This window comes from Homo sapiens, chromosome 12 (assembly GCF_000001405.40).
Source record: "Homo sapiens chromosome 12, GRCh38.p14 Primary Assembly".
Taxonomy (NCBI): Eukaryota; Metazoa; Chordata; class Mammalia; order Primates; family Hominidae; genus Homo; species Homo sapiens.
In genome coordinates, this window is record NC_000012.12 from 103,252,608 (window position 1) to 103,274,925 (window position 22,318).

At 36.8% G+C, this 22,318-nt stretch overlaps 1 protein-coding gene across 16 annotated transcripts in view; it reads right to left on the reverse strand.

Annotated features, from left to right (window-relative positions):
- Window positions 1-22,318, reverse strand: part of C12orf42 (chromosome 12 open reading frame 42) — a 516,167-nt gene that overhangs the window by 204,984 nt on the left and 288,865 nt on the right. For 5 of the 16 annotated variants that reach the window (XR_001748690.2, NR_170337.1, NR_170334.1 and 2 more), the window contains 3 exons: window positions 17,200-17,246; window positions 15,246-15,279; window positions 10,719-10,764 (listed from right to left, as the gene is read on the reverse strand). The exons of 1 other annotated variant lie outside the window; for it this stretch is intronic. Coding sequence is in view for 6 of the 15 variants with exons in the window: in XM_047428807.1 (XP_047284763.1) it covers window positions 10,719-10,764; window positions 15,246-15,279; window positions 17,200-17,246 (127 nt within the window). In the remaining 9 variants the exon portion in view is untranslated. Of the gene's footprint in view, window positions 1-9,659; window positions 9,863-10,718; window positions 10,765-15,001; window positions 15,102-15,245; window positions 16,356-16,379; window positions 16,549-17,199; window positions 17,287-20,907; window positions 20,966-21,184; window positions 21,277-22,318 lie in introns of those variants that run through there. 10 more of the 16 variants (XR_007063073.1, NR_103526.2, NR_170338.1 and 7 more) reach the window with 10 other exon arrangements.

Here is a 22,318-nt window from a genome sequence, read left to right on the forward strand (position 1 = left end):
GTTCATGTCCTTTGCCCACTTTTTGATGGGGTTGTTTGTTTTTTTCTTGTAAATTTGTTTATGTTCCATGTAGATTCTGGATATTAGCCCTTTGTCAAATGAATAGATTGCAAAAATTTTCTCCCATTCTACCCAACAGGTAGGTTGCCTGTTCACTCTGATGATCGGTTCTTTTGCTGTGCAGAAGCTCTTTAGTTTATTTAGATCCCATTTGTCAATGTTGGCTTTTGTTGCCATTGCTTTTGGTGTTTTAATCATGAAGTCTTTGCCCATGCCCATGTCCTGAATAGTATTACCTAGGTTTTCTTCCAGGATTTTTTTAATGTTTTAGGTCTTACGTTTAAGTCTTTAATCCATCTTGAGTTAATTTTTGTATAAGGTGTAAGGAAGGGGTCCAGTTTCTGTTTTCTGCATATGGCTAGCCAGTTTTCCCAGCACCATTTATTAAATAGGGAATGCTTTCTCCATTGCTTGTTTTTGTCAGGTTTGTCAAAGATCAGATGGTTGTAGGTGTGTGGTGTTATTTCTAAGGCCTCTGTTCTGTTCCGTTGGTCTATATATCTGTTTTGGTACCAATATCATGCTGTTTTCGTTACTGTAGCCTTATAGTACAGTTTGAAGTTAGGTAGCATGATGCCTCCAGCTTTGTTCTTTTTGCTTAGGATTGTCCTGGTTATACATGCTCTTTTTTGTTCTATTTGAAATTTAAAGTAGTTTTTTTCTAATTCTGTGAAGAAAGTCAATGGCAGCTTGATAGGAACAGCATTAAATCTAAACATTACTTTGGACAGTATGGGCATTTTAATGATATTGATTCTTCCTATCCATGAGCATGGAATTTTTTTCCATCCGTTTATTTCCTCTCTTATTTCCTTGAGCAGAGGTTTGTAGTTCTCCTTGAAGAGGTCCTTCATGTCCCTTGTAAGTTGTATCCCTAAGTATTTTATTTTACTTGTAGCAATTGTGAATGGGACTTCACTCATGATTTGGCTCTCTGCTTGTCTACATTTGGTGTATAGGAACGCTTGCGATTTTTGCACATTGATTTTGTATTCTGAGACTTTGCTGAAGTTGAAGTTTTTAAAGTAAACTTTCACTCCTGCTTTAAAACTTGCCTCATTCTCCCCTACCTTATGCCCCTCAGTCAAATTCTTGCCCCATGATCTCAGCCCAAAAACTCCTTAAGGTGATAAACAACTTTGTCCACTTTTTAATGGGTTTTTTTTTTCTTGTAAATTTGTTTAAGTTCTTCATACATTCTAGATGTTAGGCCTTTGTCAAATGGATAGATTGAAAATTTTTCTCCCACTCGGTAGGTTGTCTGTTTGCTCTGATGACAGTTTATTTTGTTGTGCAGAAGCTCTTTAGTTTAATTAGATACCATTTGTCAATTTTTGCTTTTGTTGCAGTTGCTTTTGGTGATTTTGTCATGAATTATTTGCCCATGCGTATGTCCTGAATGGTATTCCCTAGATTTTCTTCTAGGGTTTTTATAGTTTTGAGATTTACATTTAAGTCTTTAATCCATCTTGAGTTAATTTTTGTATAAGGTGTAAGAAATGAGTCCAGTTTCAATTTTCTGCATATGGCTAGCCACTTTTTCCAGCACCATTTATTAAATAGGGGATCCTTTCCCGGTTGCTTGTTTTTGTCAGGTTAGTCAAAGATCAGGTAACAAACCTGCACATTCAGCACATGTATCCCAGAACTTAAAGTGAAATATAATTTTTTGAAAATCAATGTTCATCAGGGATATTGGCCTGAAGTTTGCTCTTTTTTTGTTGCATCTTTGCCAGGTTTTGGTATCAGGATGATGCTGGCCTCTGAAGGCATCACATTACCTCACTTCAAACTACACTACGAGGCTACAGTAACCAAAACAGCATAGTGCTGGTACAAAAACAGACACATAGACCAGTGAAACAGAATAGAGAACTCAGGAATAAGATAGCACATCTACAACCATCTATGTAGCCATAAAAAGGAACAATATCATGTCCTTTACAGGGACATGGATGGAGCTGGAAACCATTATCCTCAAACTAATACGGGAACAGAAAACAAAACACTGCGTGTCCTCACTTATAAGTGGGAGCTGAGCAATGAGAATACATGGACACAGGAAGGGGAACAACACAAACTGGGGCCTGCTGGGGGATTGTGTGGGGAAGGGAGACCATCAGGAAAAATAGCTAACGCATTCTGGGCTGAATACCTAGGTGATGGTTTGATAGGTACAGGAAATCACCATGGCACACGTTTACCTCTGTAACAAACCTGCACATCCTGCACGAGTACCCCATAACTTAAAATAGAAATTAAAAATTTTTTTAAATTATAAATGTTTCATGCATCCTTCAAAAAATATGTATTCTGTAAGTGTTTTATGCAAGATTCTATTTATATATTCATTATATCAACTTTTATTATCGTATTGTCAAGCTTTCTGTTCTCCTACTAATTTTTATCATACAGAATATGTGGGCCGGGCATGATGGCTCACACCTGTAATCCCAGCACTTTGGGAGGCTAAAGAGGAAAAATCACGAGGTCAAGAGATTGAGACCATCCTGGCCAACATGGTGAAATCCCGTCTCTCCTAAAAATACAAAAAATTAGCTGGGTGGGGTGGTGCATGCCTGTAGTCCCAGCTACTCGGGAGGCTGAGGCAGGGGGATCACTTGAACCCAGGAGGCAGAGGTTGTAGTAAGCCAAGATCGCACCACTGCACTCCAGTCTGGCGACAGAGCAACACTCCGTCTCAACAAACAAAAACAAAAACAAAAAAATGTGTGTGTGTATGTATGCATAATTAAATGAATGGCGTGTTAAAATCTCCCATTTAAATTTTAGATTTGTTTATTTCTCCTTGAAATTATCCATTTATTCCTCTATATATTTTTGAGAACTATTTTCCTAGGAGTATACAAGTTCATTATTATATACACTGTTAGTGAATTGTTTTCTATTTAATAATACTATTTCTTTTTCTTTCTTTTTAAAAATTACTTATCGTTTGTTTTAAGGACCATTTAGTCTAAAATTAATATGTTAAACCACCCATATTTTGATTTAAACTTGCCTAGTACATTTTTTCTATCCCGTTACTTCAAAAGTTTCTGCTTAAATATGTCATTATTATATCTATTATAAAGAATATATGGCCGGGCGCGATGGCTCACGCCTGTAATCCCAGCACTTTGGGAGGCCGAGGCGGGTGGATCACGAGGTCAGGAGATCGACACCATCCTGGCTAACACGGTGAAACCCCGTCTCTACTAAAAATACAAAAAAAATTAGCCGGGCATGGTGGCAGGTGCCTGTAGTCCCAGCTACTCGGGAGGCTGAGGCAGGAGAATGGCGTGAACCCGGGAGGTGGAGCTTGCAGCGAGCCAAGATCCCGCCACTGCACTCCAGCCTGGGCGAAAGAGCGAGACTCTGTCTCAAAAAAAAAAAAAAAAAAAAAAAAAAAAAAAAAATATATATATATATATATATATATATACACACACACACACACACACACACACACACACACGTATATATACACACATATATATACACATATATATACATATATATACACATATATATATATAACTAAACTTATTGTAGTAGTTGTAGTTTTTGCTTTTTAAATCCAATTTAGAGATTCTGGGAGGATCGTGATGATAGTGACAGTATACTTTCCAATCTTTTTGAATCCTCACTTTAAAATAGATAGAGCAATTAAATAGCAAAACCAAAAGTCTAGGAGCAATGTTTACAACAAAACTAGGCAACAAGGTATGTGCCCTGATACAAACAAATGGAAACAAACCACCAAGAGCCCCAGGACCCACATGGTATTGGCATCTGTGAAGGAGAAAGTAGAGGAAATCAAATGGTGCCATGTCTAAAGGTGAATGGATCCCCGTAATAGCCAACAGTTATTTACTGAAAACCACAGTGGGCCAATTTGAGAACACCTAAGAAACTGAAAATAGATTTTTCTCTCCTAATACCAAGTGAGTTGAAAGAGCATGAAGTAAGGATTAAAGGGGTTGGAGCAGCTTAACTGTTGTGAAATCTCAAAACTGAAATGGGTTCCTTTCTAATACAGGAAACACCTATGGAGAAACCACTAGAAATAGAATAAAAAATGAACAAGTTGGGGAAAACAGAGCCTAAAACAGAAGATTCTTGGTTGGGGAAGATAACCAAGAAATATCAAGAAACAAGCAATTATATATTTTTAACATTACATAAAATTTACACTCCTACAAGCAGTGTATAGACATTCCCTTTTTCTCCACAACCTCACCAGCATCTGTTATTTTTTGACTTTTAATAATAGCTATTCTGACTGTGTGAGATAGTGTCTCATTGTGGTTTTGACTGGATAAAAAAATGCAGTACATATACACCATGAAATATTATACAGCCATAAAAAAGAATTAGATCATGTCCTTTGCATTTGCTAAGGCCATTATCCTTAGCAAACTAATGCAGGAACAGAAAACCAAATACTGCATATTCTCACTTAAAAGTGGAAACTACATGATGAGAACACATGGACACATAGAGGGAAACAACACACACTGGAGCCTTTCAAAGGGCGGAGGTGGGAGGAGGGAGAAGATCAGAAAAATAACTAATGGGTACTCAACTTAATACCTGGGTAATGAAATAATCTGTATAACAAACCCCTATGATGCAATGACACAAATTTACCTTAACAAACTTGCACATATACCCCTGAATATAAAATAAAGTTAAAAAAAGAAATGAGCCAATAAGGAGCTCAATATTATTTTCAGAGATGATTAAAGCATGCTTAAAAAGTTATACCCACAAAACAAAACAAAATACAACTTCCGTTTCAAAATCAACTCAAAGACATTAAAGTATACAAGACATGAAGAAGCAATAAAAATCAGAATTTTTAAATCTGAGAACTGAAGTGATAGAAAATAATTAGAAATAAAAGAACATATCATTTTGAAAATGAAGACTAAACTAGGATACAGTGTGGAAAACACATAGTTAAGGGAAACAGAAGGCAGAAAGGAACATTTCTTAAAGTCAAAGGAGAATAATGAGGTAAAGGGGTTCAAGAGAAAGTAACAAATACAAAAATAGCAAAGAATATCTAATATAGAGATACTAGGAGTCCCTGAAGAAAAAAACAAAGCAAGAAGAGAACAAAATTATAATTAAAGAAAACTTTCCTGATATTTAAAAAAAGATTTAAAGCAACATATTGAAACAACATACTGACTACCTGAGACTATTGACCCAGAATGACCAATATCAAAAAAAATTCTAATAAAATTAATAAAGATTTTTTTAAAATCCTATGGTCATCTAGAAAAGAAAAGTCACGTGACTTATAAAGAAAATAAAATTAGATTTCCACCAGACTTTTAACAGCAACACGTTATTTCTGAAGAAAATAGAGTAGCATCAGTAAGCTGTTTAAAACAAGAAAGTATAAGCTCAGAGTTTTATATTTATTAAAACAGACTTTAGAGAATAAAAGATACACACAAACTTTCATCAACATTCAAGACTACATGGAATATTATCCCAGTGAGCCCTTCCTGAGGACTTTACTAGGTAACTAAGTTTTAAACAATCAAAATAGAGAACTAAGTCTAAATAATAGCTTAAGAAGAGAGTAGAGCAGCCAATGGATGAATGCTGTGATCATATAGATATCGTAAACTGCCCTAAAAAAGTGATCAGAATAAAAATAGATATGTCAGCTAACAAAAATCTTCAGCAAATGCATAATTAATAATGAAGCATTCAATTTAAAGGAATAAACAAGTCAAAGACACCCCATCACCACATCACCATTATACCAGTGGTCCAAGCCAACACAATAGGGCAAAGATATTATATTGAATTATAACATCTTGTTTTTTGATTTATATATATATGTTTTAAAAATATATAGAGAAATCAAAAAATAAGAATAAAATATTATAATTCAGATATGATAGTCCAAGAGACTATACAAACCATTAGAACTAACGAAGATCCAAAAAAGTCCTGTATATAAGATCAATGACCAAAAACCTTGTCTCTATATATCAATAAAAACAATCAGAATATGTATTCTTTCAGGGTACCTTTGCAAATAGCATCAAAACCTATATGATACTTAGGAACAAATATAACTGAAGTTTTGCAAGATTTTAATGAAGAAAAAATCAAAATACACAAAAGGGGATTGAAATAAGTGGAGAATTATACTATGTTCATGGATGGGAAGATTCAACACCATAAAGATATCAGTCCTCGTCAAATTTATCTGTCAATTTAACATAATTTTAAGTTGAACCCCACTAATATGCTGATCATAAAATTCACATAAGAGAAAAAATGGCCAAGCAATTTTTAAAAACAAGGTGGTGTTCTTGCCCTACAAGACATAGAAAGTTGTGGTAATTAAGATAAGTTGTTCTTGGTACATGGATAGGCAAACAGACCAATTGAATAGGGCAAAGAACCTAGAAACAGAACCACATAACGGAAAATTTAAAGCCTAAGCCATAATTATATTTTAGTAGATTTTGTTTTAGTGAATTCAATAGTTTGTCAGGGCTCAGATTTCACTACATTAAGACTCTGAACTGAAATTGGATTATAACAAGAACAGTTCTCCTAGAGTCAATTTGTTGTCTTACCTTTGTTTTTTCTTGAGACAGAGTTTCATTCTTGTTGCCCAGGCTGGAATGCAATGATGCAATCTTGGCTCACTGCAACTTCTGCCTCCCTGGTTGAAGCAATTCTCCTGCCTCAGCCTCCCGAGTAGCTGGTATTACAGGTGCCCATGACCATGCTTGGCTAATTTTCGTATTTTTAGTAGAGACAGGGTTTCACCAAATTTGCCAGGCTGGTCTTGAACTCCTGGCCTCAGGTGATCCACCTGCCTCGGCCTCCCAAAGTGCTGGGATTACAGGCATAAGCCACCATGCCTGGCCATCTTACCTTAACTTTAAATCTCAGGATGTTCAGTTTTTATATAGGTTTTTGTTTAACTATTCGTAAGACAGTGTGAGAAAACCTTGGCATAGCAGGTGGGAAATGTCAATGTCGGTGTTGCCTTTTGTCAGTGGTTCATTGTGAAGCACTTTAAAAATTCACACATACCCCTCTACCTCATGGTCATAAGTAATAATAATAACTGTTATTGGAGACTTTCTCATGCTCCGGACACTGTACCAAACACCTTGCAGTACATGGACTGTAGGCATTAATTCTGGAAACAACCATATAGGCAGGTACAATTCGTTTAATGTCTGGCACATTCCAGTTTAGAACAGTTAAATAACTTTATCCAAGGTTCAGGTCAATCAGATAGTTAAAAAAATGGAGCTATTTGTATCTATTGAATAGCAGCTCCTGAGCTCTTAAAAGCTACTCCACAATGTCTCTCTATAAAATATTGTCATTAACCTGTTTGAAATTGAACTAGTACATTTTCAGCCTTAAAATAGAAGAAAAAAAAATTGTACAATCTGAATTAATTGAAACCAACTAATGATATCTCCCAGAAACATCTTTATAAAATAAATTGGCTTCTTTATAATTTAGTCTGCTAAAAAGAAATAGACAGGGGACCAGTAGGTATTTCTAAAAAACAACAAATTTGAAATGTGTGAGAAACTTGGAGAGAAAGCTGTTTCCTGAAACAAGAATAAACTCCTAATGCCCTGTTTTTGGAGGTCTTGCGCTGACACATGATGAAGCTCTTTTTAATTAACTGGATAGGAATTTAATATCTTCACATATGCAAGGCAAGTCGACTTGCCCAGGCAACAAGATACACCAAGCTTTGTATATTAGTTCTGCTCTTTTGGCTTCCAAGTGAACCTTCTAAGTCATGGGCATTAAGGCTGGGTCTTAAGTAATGGTTTTGTACTCAAGTGTTTCTTGGGAAAACTAGGATATGCTAACTAGTGGCAAAGAGTACAAAGTGACCTAGCAAATTAAAAATTATTAACAACAAGAATAAACCACAAGAGCCCAAGTTAAAACATCCAGAAGATTAATTTGCTGAATATCATGTTGTTTTCACTGAATGTGGCCAAAAAGATCTTCAGAGCGATGGCAAAATAGGAAACTGACAATTAGGCATACCATGCAAATGCATATCTGTTTTTGCATAGTTTATCCAGAAACCATTTCCAAGATGCCTGAAATGTGAGTTTTGCCACTTTAATATAGTTGTAAGTGTGAAGGTATATTTTGAGACTCAGGGATATTTCTAAACTCTGATTTAGGATTTGTGGCTTTCTTAGTTGTCCCCTGAGTAGTCATGTTACCAAAACTGAGAACAGTTTTTCTATTATTTTTTTCTGATATTTTTATCCTAATATTTTGCACTTAGGATAAATATAACACCTCCTGCAAAATTTCTTAGTTGTATTGGTTATGCTAAAAATTGTTCAAAATTTTTCTTGACATTTTATTAGTGTTATTTCATCTGAGTACACAAACTTTGGGTCTCTTTATGAGATTAAACACCCTAAGAGCAATTGGTATAATTCCTATTTATTTATAAATTTCCCCCATCAAAATTAATGTATGGGGCCAGATGCAGTGGCTCATGCCTGAAATCCCAGCACTTTGAAAAGCCAAGGCAAGTGGATCCCTTGAGTGCAGGAGTTTGAGACCAGCCTGGGCAATACAGTGAAGCCCCATCTCTACAAAAAAAAATGTATATATACAAAAATTAGCTGGGCTATGTGGTATATGCCTGTAGTCCCAGCTACTGGTGAGGCTAAGGCAGGAGGATCACCTGACCCAGGGAGGTGAAAGTTGCAGTGAGCCGAGATCGTGCCACTGCACACCAGCTGGGTGACAATGAGACTCTTTCAAAAAAAAAAAAAAAAAAAAAAGTATGGTTCTTGTTGCAAAAATACTTCAGGGCAGGAACTATTTTTCTGTTTGTATTTCCGTCTTCCATAATACTTAACATAGATTATTTCCCAGAGAAGACACTCTGTAAATTATTCTTCGAGTGGAATTTAATTTGTTTAATTACATTTTTAAAAAATATTTAACTTAATTATATATATCTCATTTTATAATTTTCATTTCCCCTTATTCAACAAATATTTATTGAGCCTGTACTTTGTTTCAGAAATATCTTAACATTGTATTTCTTTTGAAACAATTTTTATGACCAAATGACAAAGAATAAAATAATAGAATTTTACCATTAGAAGGAAAGTTGAGGATTACTATTCAACACATTAATTTTAGAGAAGATGAAGAAATTTTGCTAGGGTTTGAAAAAGTAAGTTTGCAAGAGCAAATAGCTGAGCTGAAGGGAAAATAGCTGGTTGGTGCAGAAGGGAATTAACACTAACAGCCAGAACTGTTGATTTTGCTGCCAGGACTTGCTCTGTCATGAGTTATTTTTAAAAATTTTAAGTATGGTTATAGATATGAAGTTCACAAGAATATGTCACGGTTTGTACCTGGAAATGGTTACTAGTCACTACTTATCATAATAGTGCTACTTTAATTAAGAGAAATAAATCTGTATAAAAAATGTTCAAGATCACAGTCAAGAAACTTACAATTATTTGTACCTTTCAATTCAATAATTCTATTTTAGGGAACTTATCCTAAGGGAACAGTCAGAGATATACACATAAAGGTTTGTATTGCTGGCTTTTAATCAAAATGTCCAATCATAAATTATGATACACCTCTATGGTGGAATTATATGCAGTTTCAAAGGATGTGTAATTATGTGTCAAAATATACTTAGTATAATGTTAAGTTTTAAAAGGTACATTGCATACGGTTTAATTCCAGTTTTGTAAATTGAAATCGGATGTGTGCAACAGTGCATTCCAACCTGAGGAAAGCAAACACATTTATAACTCTAGTTATTTCTGAGTATTACAATGATCAGTACTTTTATTTTCTTCTTTTTATTAATTTTTTGTATACCCAACTTTATAAAATAAACATATATGCATGTATAATAAGGGAAGAGAAAAGGAACATTATCTTTAAAAGAATACCTTCTATTAAAACAACAGATGCTGGAGAGGATGTGGAGAAATAGGAACGCTTTTACACTGTTGGTGGGAGTGTAAATTAGTTCAACCATTGTGGAAGACAGTGTGGCGATTCATCAAGGATATAGAACTAGAATTACCATTTGACCCAGCAATCCCATTACTGGGTATATACCCAAAGGATTATAAATCATGCTACTATGAAGACACATGCACACGTATGTTTATTGCAGCACTATTCACAATAGCAAAGACTCGGAACCAACCCAAATGTCCATCAATGATAGACTGGATTAAGAAAATGTGGCACATATACACCATGGAATACTATGCAGCCATAAAAAGGATGAGTTCATGTCCTTTGTAGGGATACGGATGAAGCTGGAAACCATCATTCTCAGCAAGATATCACAAGGACAGAAAACCAAATACCGCATGTTCTCACTCACAGGTGGGAATTGAACAATGAGATCACTTGGACACGGTGGGGGAATATCACACACCAGGGTCTATTGGGGTGTGGGGGCCTGGGGGAGGGATAGCATTAGGAGAAATACCTAAGGTAAATGATGAGTTGATGGGTGCAGCAAACCAACATGGCACACGTACATCTATGTATCAAATCTGCATGTTGTGCCCATGTACCCTAGAACTTAGAGTATAATAAAAAATAAAAATAAAAAAGAATACCTTCTATTTGAGGTAGGAGCAGCAAATGGCCAAGCTAAACAGTCACCTACAAAAAAAAAGTTTGATTTCAGTGAAGCCATAAACCACTACCCCCAAATCCCTGCATTTTAAACATTTAGTGATCATTTCACTACTGGACTTCCATTGTTATCTTTCCTATCTGAACTTTCCTGTCAGGTGAGGAAGGAGTACCCATGAGCCCTGAATGCTCCAAGGAGATAGTGGTCCTGGCAGCCTGGTCACCGGTGGGATAGAGCCCTACATGCTCCTGGCAAGGAACTCCTCTGCTCTCCTTCCACACGTGCTCAGCCTTATCACCCTAACCTGCATTTGATACCATAAGGTGAATCCCACCATGCCCCTGCATCCTACCATGCTTCTGATCTCAAGTCGTCCCATATAATCTGGACTCTCATATGTAACTGATCCAGTCTGTCACACTCCTTCCAAATCCTTCCACTGCAGCCTAGGAAAGGCTGCTTGGTTAGCAGCAAATATCCTACATCATCAACCATCTTGCTTCATCAATATATACACCACCAATCATCAATGATTCCCTTCACTTATGTGCTTTAACTGGAACCTGGCTGATGTCTGGGACCACTCTCAGTAGTTCTTAGTAGAGAATGGCTGTTTTCTCTTCCATCCTCTACCATTGGACCTGAAATGTAAGTTACATTTCCTCTCTGTTTTTTACCATGACTTACAAAATATTGTCCTCCTCCTCTTCTTTTCTTTTCCTGTGAAGTTCATGCCATCAGAACACATCCTATCTTGGACATATATTTACTTACTGCCTTGCATTGTCAGCATCCAACCTGAGAAAGTAACAATGCTTCTAAAATGTGTATCAAGAGCTTACTCCTCCACTTAGGAGGATTCTAAGTGGAGCCTCCTCCACTTAGAAGATTAGCCTGGTTTCAGGTCATAGAGCAGTACTGTGGCTGTAAAACAAATTCTGTCATTGGTACGTATTGTAAAATGAAATAAATATTCTCCCTAAGCACTGTTGAGATGGTTAGAAGAGAAAGAGGTTTAATTCAGAGTGGGCTGCTCATTTGACTGCTCTGTCCCAGGGGATTAAGAAAAGAAACGAGCCGTCAACCAAGTAGGACAACTTCTGATGAGCCAAAGACCCCTATGGACCTTGGCATCTGCAGTGCCCTCCACAGTCCAGGCACATGATAGGTCCCCTATAAATATTTATTTGCTAGCTTATTAATGGACTTTAATGCCATGCCACACATTCCAAACTAGTTTAGCCTATAAATTCCTCCAACCTGACATTGCCCATTCAACAAATAATAAGTTAGCAAGTTATTTTATCTTTCGGCTTGAGTGGTTTACTGAAAGACTGGAATTTGTAGGGCCTGTACCATAGAAGAATACAAAACAGGTGTAACAAGTGCTAAAAAATAATTATGTTTATTTATAACTCCAAAAGTAAATTCTAGAGCTGGAACACACTCCAGTCATATATGGCACTTTTATTTGAGTGGATGATCATTTTTACATCTTCTGGTTTCTCCTCTTTTCCTTTATTTATCTAGCTGCCTATGAGAATGGCCCCAAGCAACATTATCACTCATTCTGTCTTAGTCAGTTTAGACTCCTATAGCAAAGTGCTATATAGAGTGGGTGGCTTCTTAACAATAGAAATTCATTTCTCACAGTTCTGGAGGATGAAAGTGTCTGATATCAAAATGCCAGCATGGTCGGGTTCTAATAAAGACTCTCTTCTAGGTTGCAGACTGCCAACTCCACATTGTATCCTCGCATGGCAGAGAGAGGGCTAGAGGGTCTCTTTTATAAGGGCACAATCTCTTTCATAAGGGCTCCACCCTCATGAACTAATCACACCCCCAAGGTCCCACCCCCTAATACCATCATATTAGGGATTAGAATTTCAACATAAGAATGTTGGAGGGGCACAGACATTCAGTCCATAACACATTACATGCAGTTCTTGGTTTCTTTCAGCAAGTATTTATCAAATGTCTTCTATATGCTGCGTACTGTGGTAGGTGCTGGAGATGCAACAATAACCAAGACTGATCATGTCCCTGACTTGCCTTCCTTCTACGGAAATTATAGAAAACTGCTTTACCTATTTTAAATCTATTTCATTCTGTTTTATTATAATAGAATTAGAATTGTGTAATAAAATAAAAATAATATTTTAATAGCAATTTAAAATTATTAAATCAGTTTCACGTTCAGCTTTTCATTCGATGCTCAAAGAAGCTCCAAGGATAGAAAGAAGGACTAGTTCTAATGCTATTTTACAGGTGACAAAGACAAGATGCTGAAAATGTTCATGGCATTAGCAGGAGCCATTCCAAGGACTTCTAGAAACAGACTCACGTGGGTTGGGGGACCTGGAAACTGTCAGGGAGAGAAGGCAGGAGTCAGCATCTCGTGGTAAAATAGAGTTCAGACACACTGCTCATGATTGCTTTGGAAATTTCTTAGGCTGTTTTGTTTTGTTTTGTTTTGTTTTGTTTTGTTTTGTTTGCAATGGGCACATACTGTTGCAATAACTATTAACTGCCATCTTGAATCTTTTGTCTAGGGGTGTGTTGATCAAGTTCACCTTTGATGTTCTTCTTAAATGGATAACCTTCTCACAGGCATTTAGTGGGAAGGCCTCTTTCACAGCATAATCTACCCCTGGATTAGACACCCTTGCAAGGAGAGAACATGATCATTGCCTGTAAAAGTTTACCAGTGTCACCTGAGGTACTGTTTATGCTCTCTGAGGACAAGCAATGTGTCTTCTTTCTATTAGCCTCCTCAAATGCTTCTAAAAGCATTTTCTTAAAGTGTATTATTGAAGAGGTCTCTTTAATATCAAATTTTGATAGTCAAACTATAAGAAAAATTGTATTTGGAAATGATACCAGCACTCCAAGAACTAGATATCCAAAATAGAAGGAAAAGAGAAAGATACATAAAACAAAAGCCCAAGACTGGTTGTATTTATATCTGTATCTTTATTTTAGAAAGTGGATGGCCCAGCCCTGGACTTCCTAAATGATATCATTTAGGAAAATGTGTATAAACTCTGTTATCAGAGGAGTCAGAAATGGAAAACTGGAGAATACCTTTTATATTATTTGATCTGATCAGTCCCCTTTTTCTCTACAGTTAAAGTAGCTATATTTGTACCCCTTGTGGTTTCTAAATTCTGAAGAATTAAAAGAAATAGAAAAAAGCAAAGAAAAGGAGTGTCAACTTGGTCGAGGTAGGCATGTGTAAAAGTGAGAGCTATCTCTTCCATTTTTTTTTAACTGTATCTAAGGTTGTACAAAAACTCAAACTAGGCAGATGGAGCCCAGGCTAACCTTGAATATTTCTTGCTTAATTTGACTATTTAAACTTTTTAATTTGTTCCTTTCTGTTCTACATCTTTTTTAAAAAGTAGAGTATTTTTAGATTAAAGAAATAACATATTTTGTGAGCAGGTGGGGAGCTAGAAAATTCCAGTCACCAGGTGTCACACTATCAAACAGCACACCAGGTGTAAAAAGTGGAAAAATAACCTTCTAGGGTATCTGGGGAAAATTCCAAGAAAGGTCAGACAGTGATTATTTTAACCTATGGCAGGCATTTTGCTTTAAAACTTGACAACAAAAAAACTTTGAGTATTAGGAAGATATGTGCTAATTAGGCACAGCTTCCAAATCCGGAAACAAGCACACAGGGAGCAAAGCAGAAGCAGTGGGCACCTATTTTCACCGTCTCTTGCTTTGGCTCACATTATTCCTCAGCATGCCTGGCTGGTCCATTCTTCACCCCCTGTGTAAATCCTGCATGCCCTTCAGGTGTCAGATAAAAGGCCATCAATTCCAGGAAGCTTTCTCTGGTTCGAGTCAATTCAATAAATATTTATTGTTCACCAACACTGTGCCCGGAATTGAGGGATCAGCAGCAATGAAAAGAGACATTGGCCTCAAGTTGCTGAGGGTCTAATGGAAAGAGAGACCCTACATATCCGACAAATATTGATTGAGTGCTCAGTGTAGGCCAGGCACTATTCTAGTAATACCCAGTAATCTAGGTAAGCATCAAAGCTCAATTCTGAGAAAAACAGACAATTGTAACATATATGTATACATACATATACATATGTAATATGTATAAATGTGAAATTACACAAATTATATATGTATGTCAATTTGTGTAAATTATAAGCAGACAAATAGTATCACAATTGATTATAAATACAATTAGAATTAATAAAATAATAATAAACCTTTCAAAGTAATTAATTTGTAACTTACAAAACACTTCATATCAGTATCTTACTTGATACCCAGAACAGCCCCATGGGATGAGAAGGACACTTCGTTTCTCAGTGAAGGTGTTTTAGAGATGACAAAGCTGAGAAGGGAGCAAGTGGGGTAAACTTATAAACACATAAACTGGAAGGATAAATTTAAAAATCCAAGAAAGGAGTAACATCTAACAGGAAGAGAGGAAGTAGAATGGGATGGGAAATGGGAACAAATGTGACTTCAAATTTACCTTTGGTTTTCCAGTTCTTATATTTAAACAAAATCTGAAGCAGAGAAGGAAAAACATAAACTTTAGTTGTTATTGTGATGAATAAATAGTCCTTCCTATATTAGACTCTACTTTTCAAAATCGTATCAAAATAACAAAGAAGAAAAACATATAACAAAAAAGAAATTAATAGTATTTTGAAAATACACCTTCCTCTTTGTTTTTACAACATATTGTAAAAATCAAGAGTGATTATAGAATTGGAAGTTCTAGCCTGGCTGGTAGCAATAAGCATCTAATACACTGTCCTTTTTTTTTCTTTTCTTATTTCTTTCCTTTTCTCTGTCTCCTCTTCTTTATCCCCCTACACGCAATTAAATTATTGTTTTGTATAACAATTGGAGTAAGCTGTTTATACATCTTCTTCCATTAATAGATCATGAGCATCCTGAAGGCAGGGGTCCTGTCTCAGCCACATCTGTATATTCAGAGACTGGCACCATGCCTGGTTAATAGGTATGTGATTTGTGTTTGTTGCAAAACACACCTATGCAGAACACAAACAGGGGACTTAATCCTAAGCAGTATTAGCAGAGTCTGTTTTATTTTTCCCCGACAGTGACCTGTTTTTTCATTAGCATCCAGAAATGAATTAATAATTTTTCATTAAAAAAAAAACCGCCACCACTCAGGATCAAGCTCATGACGTCTTTAAAGTGTGACTGTTGAATCACAAATCCTCCTGAACTTGTAAGCAAGATTTGGTTGCATTATATACTTGGAGAAAATGAGGACTTGGTATTGATTTTTCCCCGATTCAAAGAGAGTGCAGGTGTTTAAGCACTTATGAAATTGATTGACTCCCCTCTAGAAGGCAATTGATAATAAGTTTAAGCTTTGGAGTGAGGCTGTAAAAGGTTTGATTATATTAACAATACTAATAGTCATGGGTTCATAAATCTTAAGAGAAAGCATGCATGTGTCACATATAATGCATGAAAAAGTTGTTCTTTTATCATGGATAACTCTCTTTTGTGTGGAGACCCAGTTGATCAGCTATTCCATTATTTGAATAAGTATCTGATGTCTTGTTTTCTTTCAAGAAGGCAGGTGCAGGATGAAGCAGGAAACCTGCCAAGAAAGATGATAAATTACCATTTGGTGCTAGCGACCAGAGCTCTACAAGTACAGGGCTGCCAGGAACTGTGAGGGAGAGTAACCACAAACAAGGAGGGAAATGACTTCTGATGACAACTTCAGAGATGTTTACTTTTTGTCTTCATTATCTTTGTAGTGTTTTAAGGATCTCTGTTCATTTTGTAACCTACAAAATGAAGTGCTATTTTAAAACAATCATATACTGGCTCAAAATATTCTATTACATCTGCTGAGGTCAAATTTAAAAATTAGAGTTTAGAGGGAGCTGTTCAGAGGAAGGAAGCGGATGACGTAAGTAGACAAATGACATAAAGCAGAGGTGAAATGTGGCTGCAGCTTCATTTGAGGGAGCACCTGGGCTCAACTCGGAGGAAGCACTCTGCCCCAGATCAATCGCATTGACAGGGCCATACTCATATTGTGTTTCATCCCCTAAAACTCAGAAGAATAAAAAGAATAACAACAGTCATGATCATAATAATGGTTTTTGGAACCAGTCTATTTCATTAATATCCCCTGCCTTCAGGTTGACTGTTCTGTTATCAATCACAAATTTATCAATCAGTGTTTAATATTCATCAGTGACTCTATTGGAATCACCACTGGCAATGGACTATTCTAAATTTATCAAATTCAACAAGAATTTCTTGAGCCCCTAAAATGTACCTGGCACCCAGCGGGGTGCTTGGGATATAAAGATAAGATAGAAGACCCAGTCCCTCCCCTCAAACTCATGCTCTAGTGGAGAGGGACAAATCCAGTGCTGTGTGCTCAGTACTATGGTAAGGATGCAACGGGTGTCACAGGAGAGACTCACCTGAGGAGCCAGGAAGTGCAGGAAAGGGCTTCTAGGAGTGGTGACATCTGAAATGGCAAAGGATGGAGGAGAGGGATATTCAAGGCACTGGGGAAAGAATGAGCTAGAGATGTAGACTTGAATAACACAGCCGTTTACAACCTTCCAGCTTTGTGTCTAGAACTCAGGATGAACATGTGTATGGTAATATATGAATAGAATGAGTCTCAGAGTTTATACTACAAAGGATTCTGGGTTTCAGACTAATGAGTTTGGAATTTATTTTGACACTAATGGGAAGTCCCTAAAGAATTTTGAGCAGGGGAGCCATATGATCAAATAGCATTGGCAGCAAATACTTACAGTACAACATAGTGGACACTGTGCTGAAAACATGACCTAAGTACTACAGAAATGCAGAAAAGGAGGGGGGTAAGGCTGTGCTTCCAGAGGAAGCCACATGTGAGATGAGTTTGAGAGGATCAGGAGGAGTTTACAGGCACAAAGGGAATGGAGAGCATTTCTACTAGATGGAAGTAGGTGGGGGAAGGGAAGGAAGTAAGGAGGGAAGGAAGGAAGAAAGGAAGGAAGGAAGGGAGGGAGGGAGGGAGGAAAATTGTAAACACACTTCAATAAAACTGTGAAAATCTAAAGAAAACCTTAATTTGATTTAGATGATGTAGACTTGATTTACATTTTTATTATTGATTTTTTTCCCAAAGATATTTATTTTTATTTTTATTTTTATTTTTTTAAGATTTGATCAATATTTTATTTTATTTATTTATTTATTTATTTTATTATTATTATACTTTAAGTTTTAGGGTACATGTGCACAATGTGCAGGTTAGTTACATATGTATACATGTGCCATGCTGGTGTGCTGCACCCATTAACTCGTCATTTAGCATTAGGTATATCTCCTAATGCTATCCCTCCCCCCTCCCCCTACCCCACAACAGTCCCCAGAGTGTGATGTTCCCCTTCCTGTGTGATTTTTTGTTTTTAATGATCTAAAACATCTAGGTCTTAAAAAGTGAAAAACATCCAAAATATGTCAGATTGATAAAGGAGTTGTAATCTGTTCTCTCTTTATCAAAATATAACATGATACCTTTCTTCAGTTATGATAATATCAGAATGGGATAATTTTGACAGTTTCCCAAAACAAGGTAGGAAAGAATTATGAAATACAGGACAAAACCAATAATCCAGAAATGTGAATTATATGATTTGCTTTGCCAGGGGCAAAGCAGTAATTCTGGGAATTTTTTTCACAGCTCCAAAATAGCAGGACAGCACCTTGTTATGTATCAGGCAACAGCTGTGTGACTTTTTGCAAGCCACAGTGACCCCTGTAAAGTGGGGCATGGGAGGCCTCCTCTGGATTTCAGGTTTAGCACCTACCTACCCAAGGTGTGTCGTGTGCACCCTAAGCTAAGAATCAGTTACTGTATACTTCATGTACAACAGCAGCTTAACCGCAACAGCCACACAAACATACCACTATGAAATAATTGTCTTTGGGAAGATACAATGTTTAGATGCAATTTTCACTAGTGGAAGAGACAATCCTTTGAATTTCCATATGTAGCTATGTCAAACAGGAAGCCCTGAACAGTGGCTTTCATACAGGGTGAGAGGCAAGAAAGTGCAATGGGAAGGAGTGAGACCTATCAGCTGTGATGCTGGTTCTGCCAATCACTACTTGTGTGACTCCAGCAAGATATTCCCTTTTAGCCTTAGTTTGCCCCCTCTGTAAAATGGGGACAGTAATGCCAATTTTACTAGGTTTTTATTAGGAGTAAATGAGACAGAGTAGGTAAAGCACTTAGCACTGTGGAAGCTGAGAAAAATATTAAGTAAATGGAAGCTCTAGAAGAATGACAGCAAGCTATGACCATGAAGAGTAAGGCCAAGGACACAGGACACTGGGGGATATAGTACTCTGGGTCCTGTGTTCCCCACTCAAATGCTGCAACGATTATTCATTTTCAACATATGCATTGAATGGTTTCATTTGATTGGCTTTTACCTTGCTGATAGATTTTAATAATTATTTAAAAAACAAACACAGCACTGGATATTAGCTGCACTCTACTATGAAGGAAAATGTATCACTCCAACTGCTAGAGAGTATGTGCTAACAATGTAACTTTAGCTCTATTACCAACTCTGTAATTGTGGACCCATCATTTAAATCTTTGGCATGTTTCCTCATCTATGAAATGAAAGATCTAGACTGCTCATTTACATGATTGGCCAACTCTCAAGTTTATTAATATACAGGATGCTGTGCCTATAGATCTAAGAGGTGAGAACAAGGAGGTGATATGGAAATAGAGTGACTAAATTACTTGAAGCATTACCTTAGACAGTGAGGTGAAATAAACACAGGTAGGAAGAGGAACACACTCTCCTGGGGCAAAACATTGACCATGGCTGTCTTATTTCTAGGTCTCTAGCATCATAATTATGTTGGCATTAAAGGAGCCACTCAGGCAATCTGCTCAGTTGAACATGTTAAGACCAAGAAAGGGAATGATAGGAGCTCTTAGTGTTTAGCATATGCCAAGCACTGTGCAAAATTATTTACTCCCTACCCAGCACCACTGAGCAAACTGAGGCCCACAAAACAATTTCATCCTTTGATGAAGATCATTCGATTTCTTACTGATTGGTATCTGCCTCCATGGCTTGAGTACATAACCATTATGTTGAGCTGCCCCTCATGAGAAACTGTTTTGAAAACTAGATTTCATTTAATACGTTTTCAAGAAAGAACACCCTTATTTTCTAATGCACTCCCTCTGACACCTGATACAGAGATGATAGTGGGTTTCTTTTTCAATGAAAATGGGCTCAAAGAAAATAGTGCAAGACCAAGACTAGACAGAATTTTAGACTTTGAATCACTGAGAGTCTATTTTTCTAAAGAGAATTTAGAAACAAGCAAATCTGAAGCTTTCCAAACACACAGGAGAAAACTGGGGTCCAGGGAGGCAGGTTAACTTAAGTCTGCAGGACATGCAGCTAGTCAGAGGCCACAGCAAGAAGGAATGATCGGGCCTCCTGACTAGCACATGATCTGCTTTTCTGTCTCTTGAATGTCACCCAAGTGTGTTTTCTGTTCAGTATTTTCCAGACTCTCCGCTTCTAGTAAATCACAAGTTCATTATAGTCACACCAAACACTACTTTGCTCATTTGTTCCAGTTATTATTTTTATGCTACCTGTGTGTTCCCTCATAGACATGAAGTAGAAGAACATTTTTAACACAGGTTGTTTTCCTCCCACATCTTCAACACCTGATGACATTTAGCTGTTAGGATATTAGTCATTCTTCCTATGCCGATATGACTCAGTCTAGGACCATCTGGGAGCTAGAATCCATATTTTCAGCCTAGATTCACCAATGACCTGTTAGGTGACCACTGGGAGGCCTTTGCCCAGGTTCAGTTCCATAAAAGAAGAAGGAATGTGGCCTTCTTTTTTCACATAGAGTCACTAGGATTTTTTTAAAGGTAATAACAAAATCCTAAGAATGTCTTGAGCATACATATATACTATATAATTAAAACTGTAAATAAAATTTTAATGAACATAATGACTGCTTTAAGTAGTTATTTTAAGAATAAACACAGCATTGTATATTGGCCATTTTAGACTGTAATGGAGGGTGTTATCACTCCAACTACTAGAGGACACATTCCATTTATGTAGTTTTACCTCGACCACCAACTCTGTAATCTTGAGCCACCATCTCACTTTCCTGTCATTATCCCATCTGTGAAATGAAAAGTCAGGACTCTGAAATTTCTAATACCATGTCAACTTTACTAATATACAGGATGTTTTGTCTAAAGACCCAAGAGGTAAGAATAAGAAGGTGGTATGGATATAGTACAATTAAATTACTTTAGGAAGCCAGAAATTAGGGAAAAGAAGAAGGAAAAGGAGGAGGAGAAAGAGAAGAGAAAGAGAAAGAGAAGCACTTGTCTTTTACCTGATGACTTCATGGGTCTGAGTCAGCGTTAATATGTGAGCAGTTTCAGACTGATGCACTCACAGCAGGTCTCCTCATAGTGGCTATTTTACCTAGAAAGCCAAAGTCCAAGGAGGACGAGCAGAAAAGTGCTTTTCGCATACTCACAGTAAGTACTCAGTGTGCTGTCCAGGGTCAAGAAAAATCCCCCCAAGAGCACTCCTATTGCCCTGTCCTGCTTTTTTAGTTCCTCTCTGCCTTTCAGACACTCAGTAAGTTATTACTAAGGGCTTATTCAGGGACAGAAACCCCTCTAAGTGCTTTATTATGTACTCATTTATTTAATCCTCACAACATCCTAGGAAATAGGTACTGATAGTAATTCTGTTTTACAGATAAGGAGTTTGAGGCAGAGAGACGCTAAGTAATACAGCCAAGGCAACATAGCTGTCAAGTGGCAGAGCAGGATTCAAACTCAAGACAGTTTATCTGTGATGCCTGTGCTGCTAAACATGGACTTGGAACTCTGGAATCAGATGCTCCTGTGTCCTTCCCAGATGAGATGGTTAACTGTGGGTACATCTTTAAACTGAGAACAGTAAACCCTACCTCCCTGGGTTGTAGCAAGCATTAAATATGTATAATACTTAGTATAGATGGAGCTCTTAATAATTTTTTTCTTTCCCTTAGAAGTCTCCATTTAAATCTCTCCATTTCTCAGTCTATAGAGCTAGAATTCTTCTTATAGATCATTCCTCACTTGTTACCCTTTCTCACTGTGGCTGATTTTGGGAACCTAGTTTATTATACATTGATTCATCTGGGCATAGAAAAAGGTATTTTGTTTTTCTACTGTTTGTGTCTGTCTGTCTGTGTGTGTCTGTGTGTGTATGCATGCACATGAACATGCTCTTGTTTTAAACCTTATTTTCATATTTACTGAATAAATGAATCCTTCTCAAGGTTCAGCACTTGTTGCCAAAAAGAAAACAAAAACAAAAAAACAGAACACAACTGGTTTAAATTTGATAAACAGAGGTTTCCAGCTGCTATGCTTTCAATCTGGCCAAACACTTTATGCTCACTTTAAAATTTGTTTCCTTTAGTTTTCGAGCTCCTAACTGATATGCCAGAATTGAATTATCTTTCCTCCTG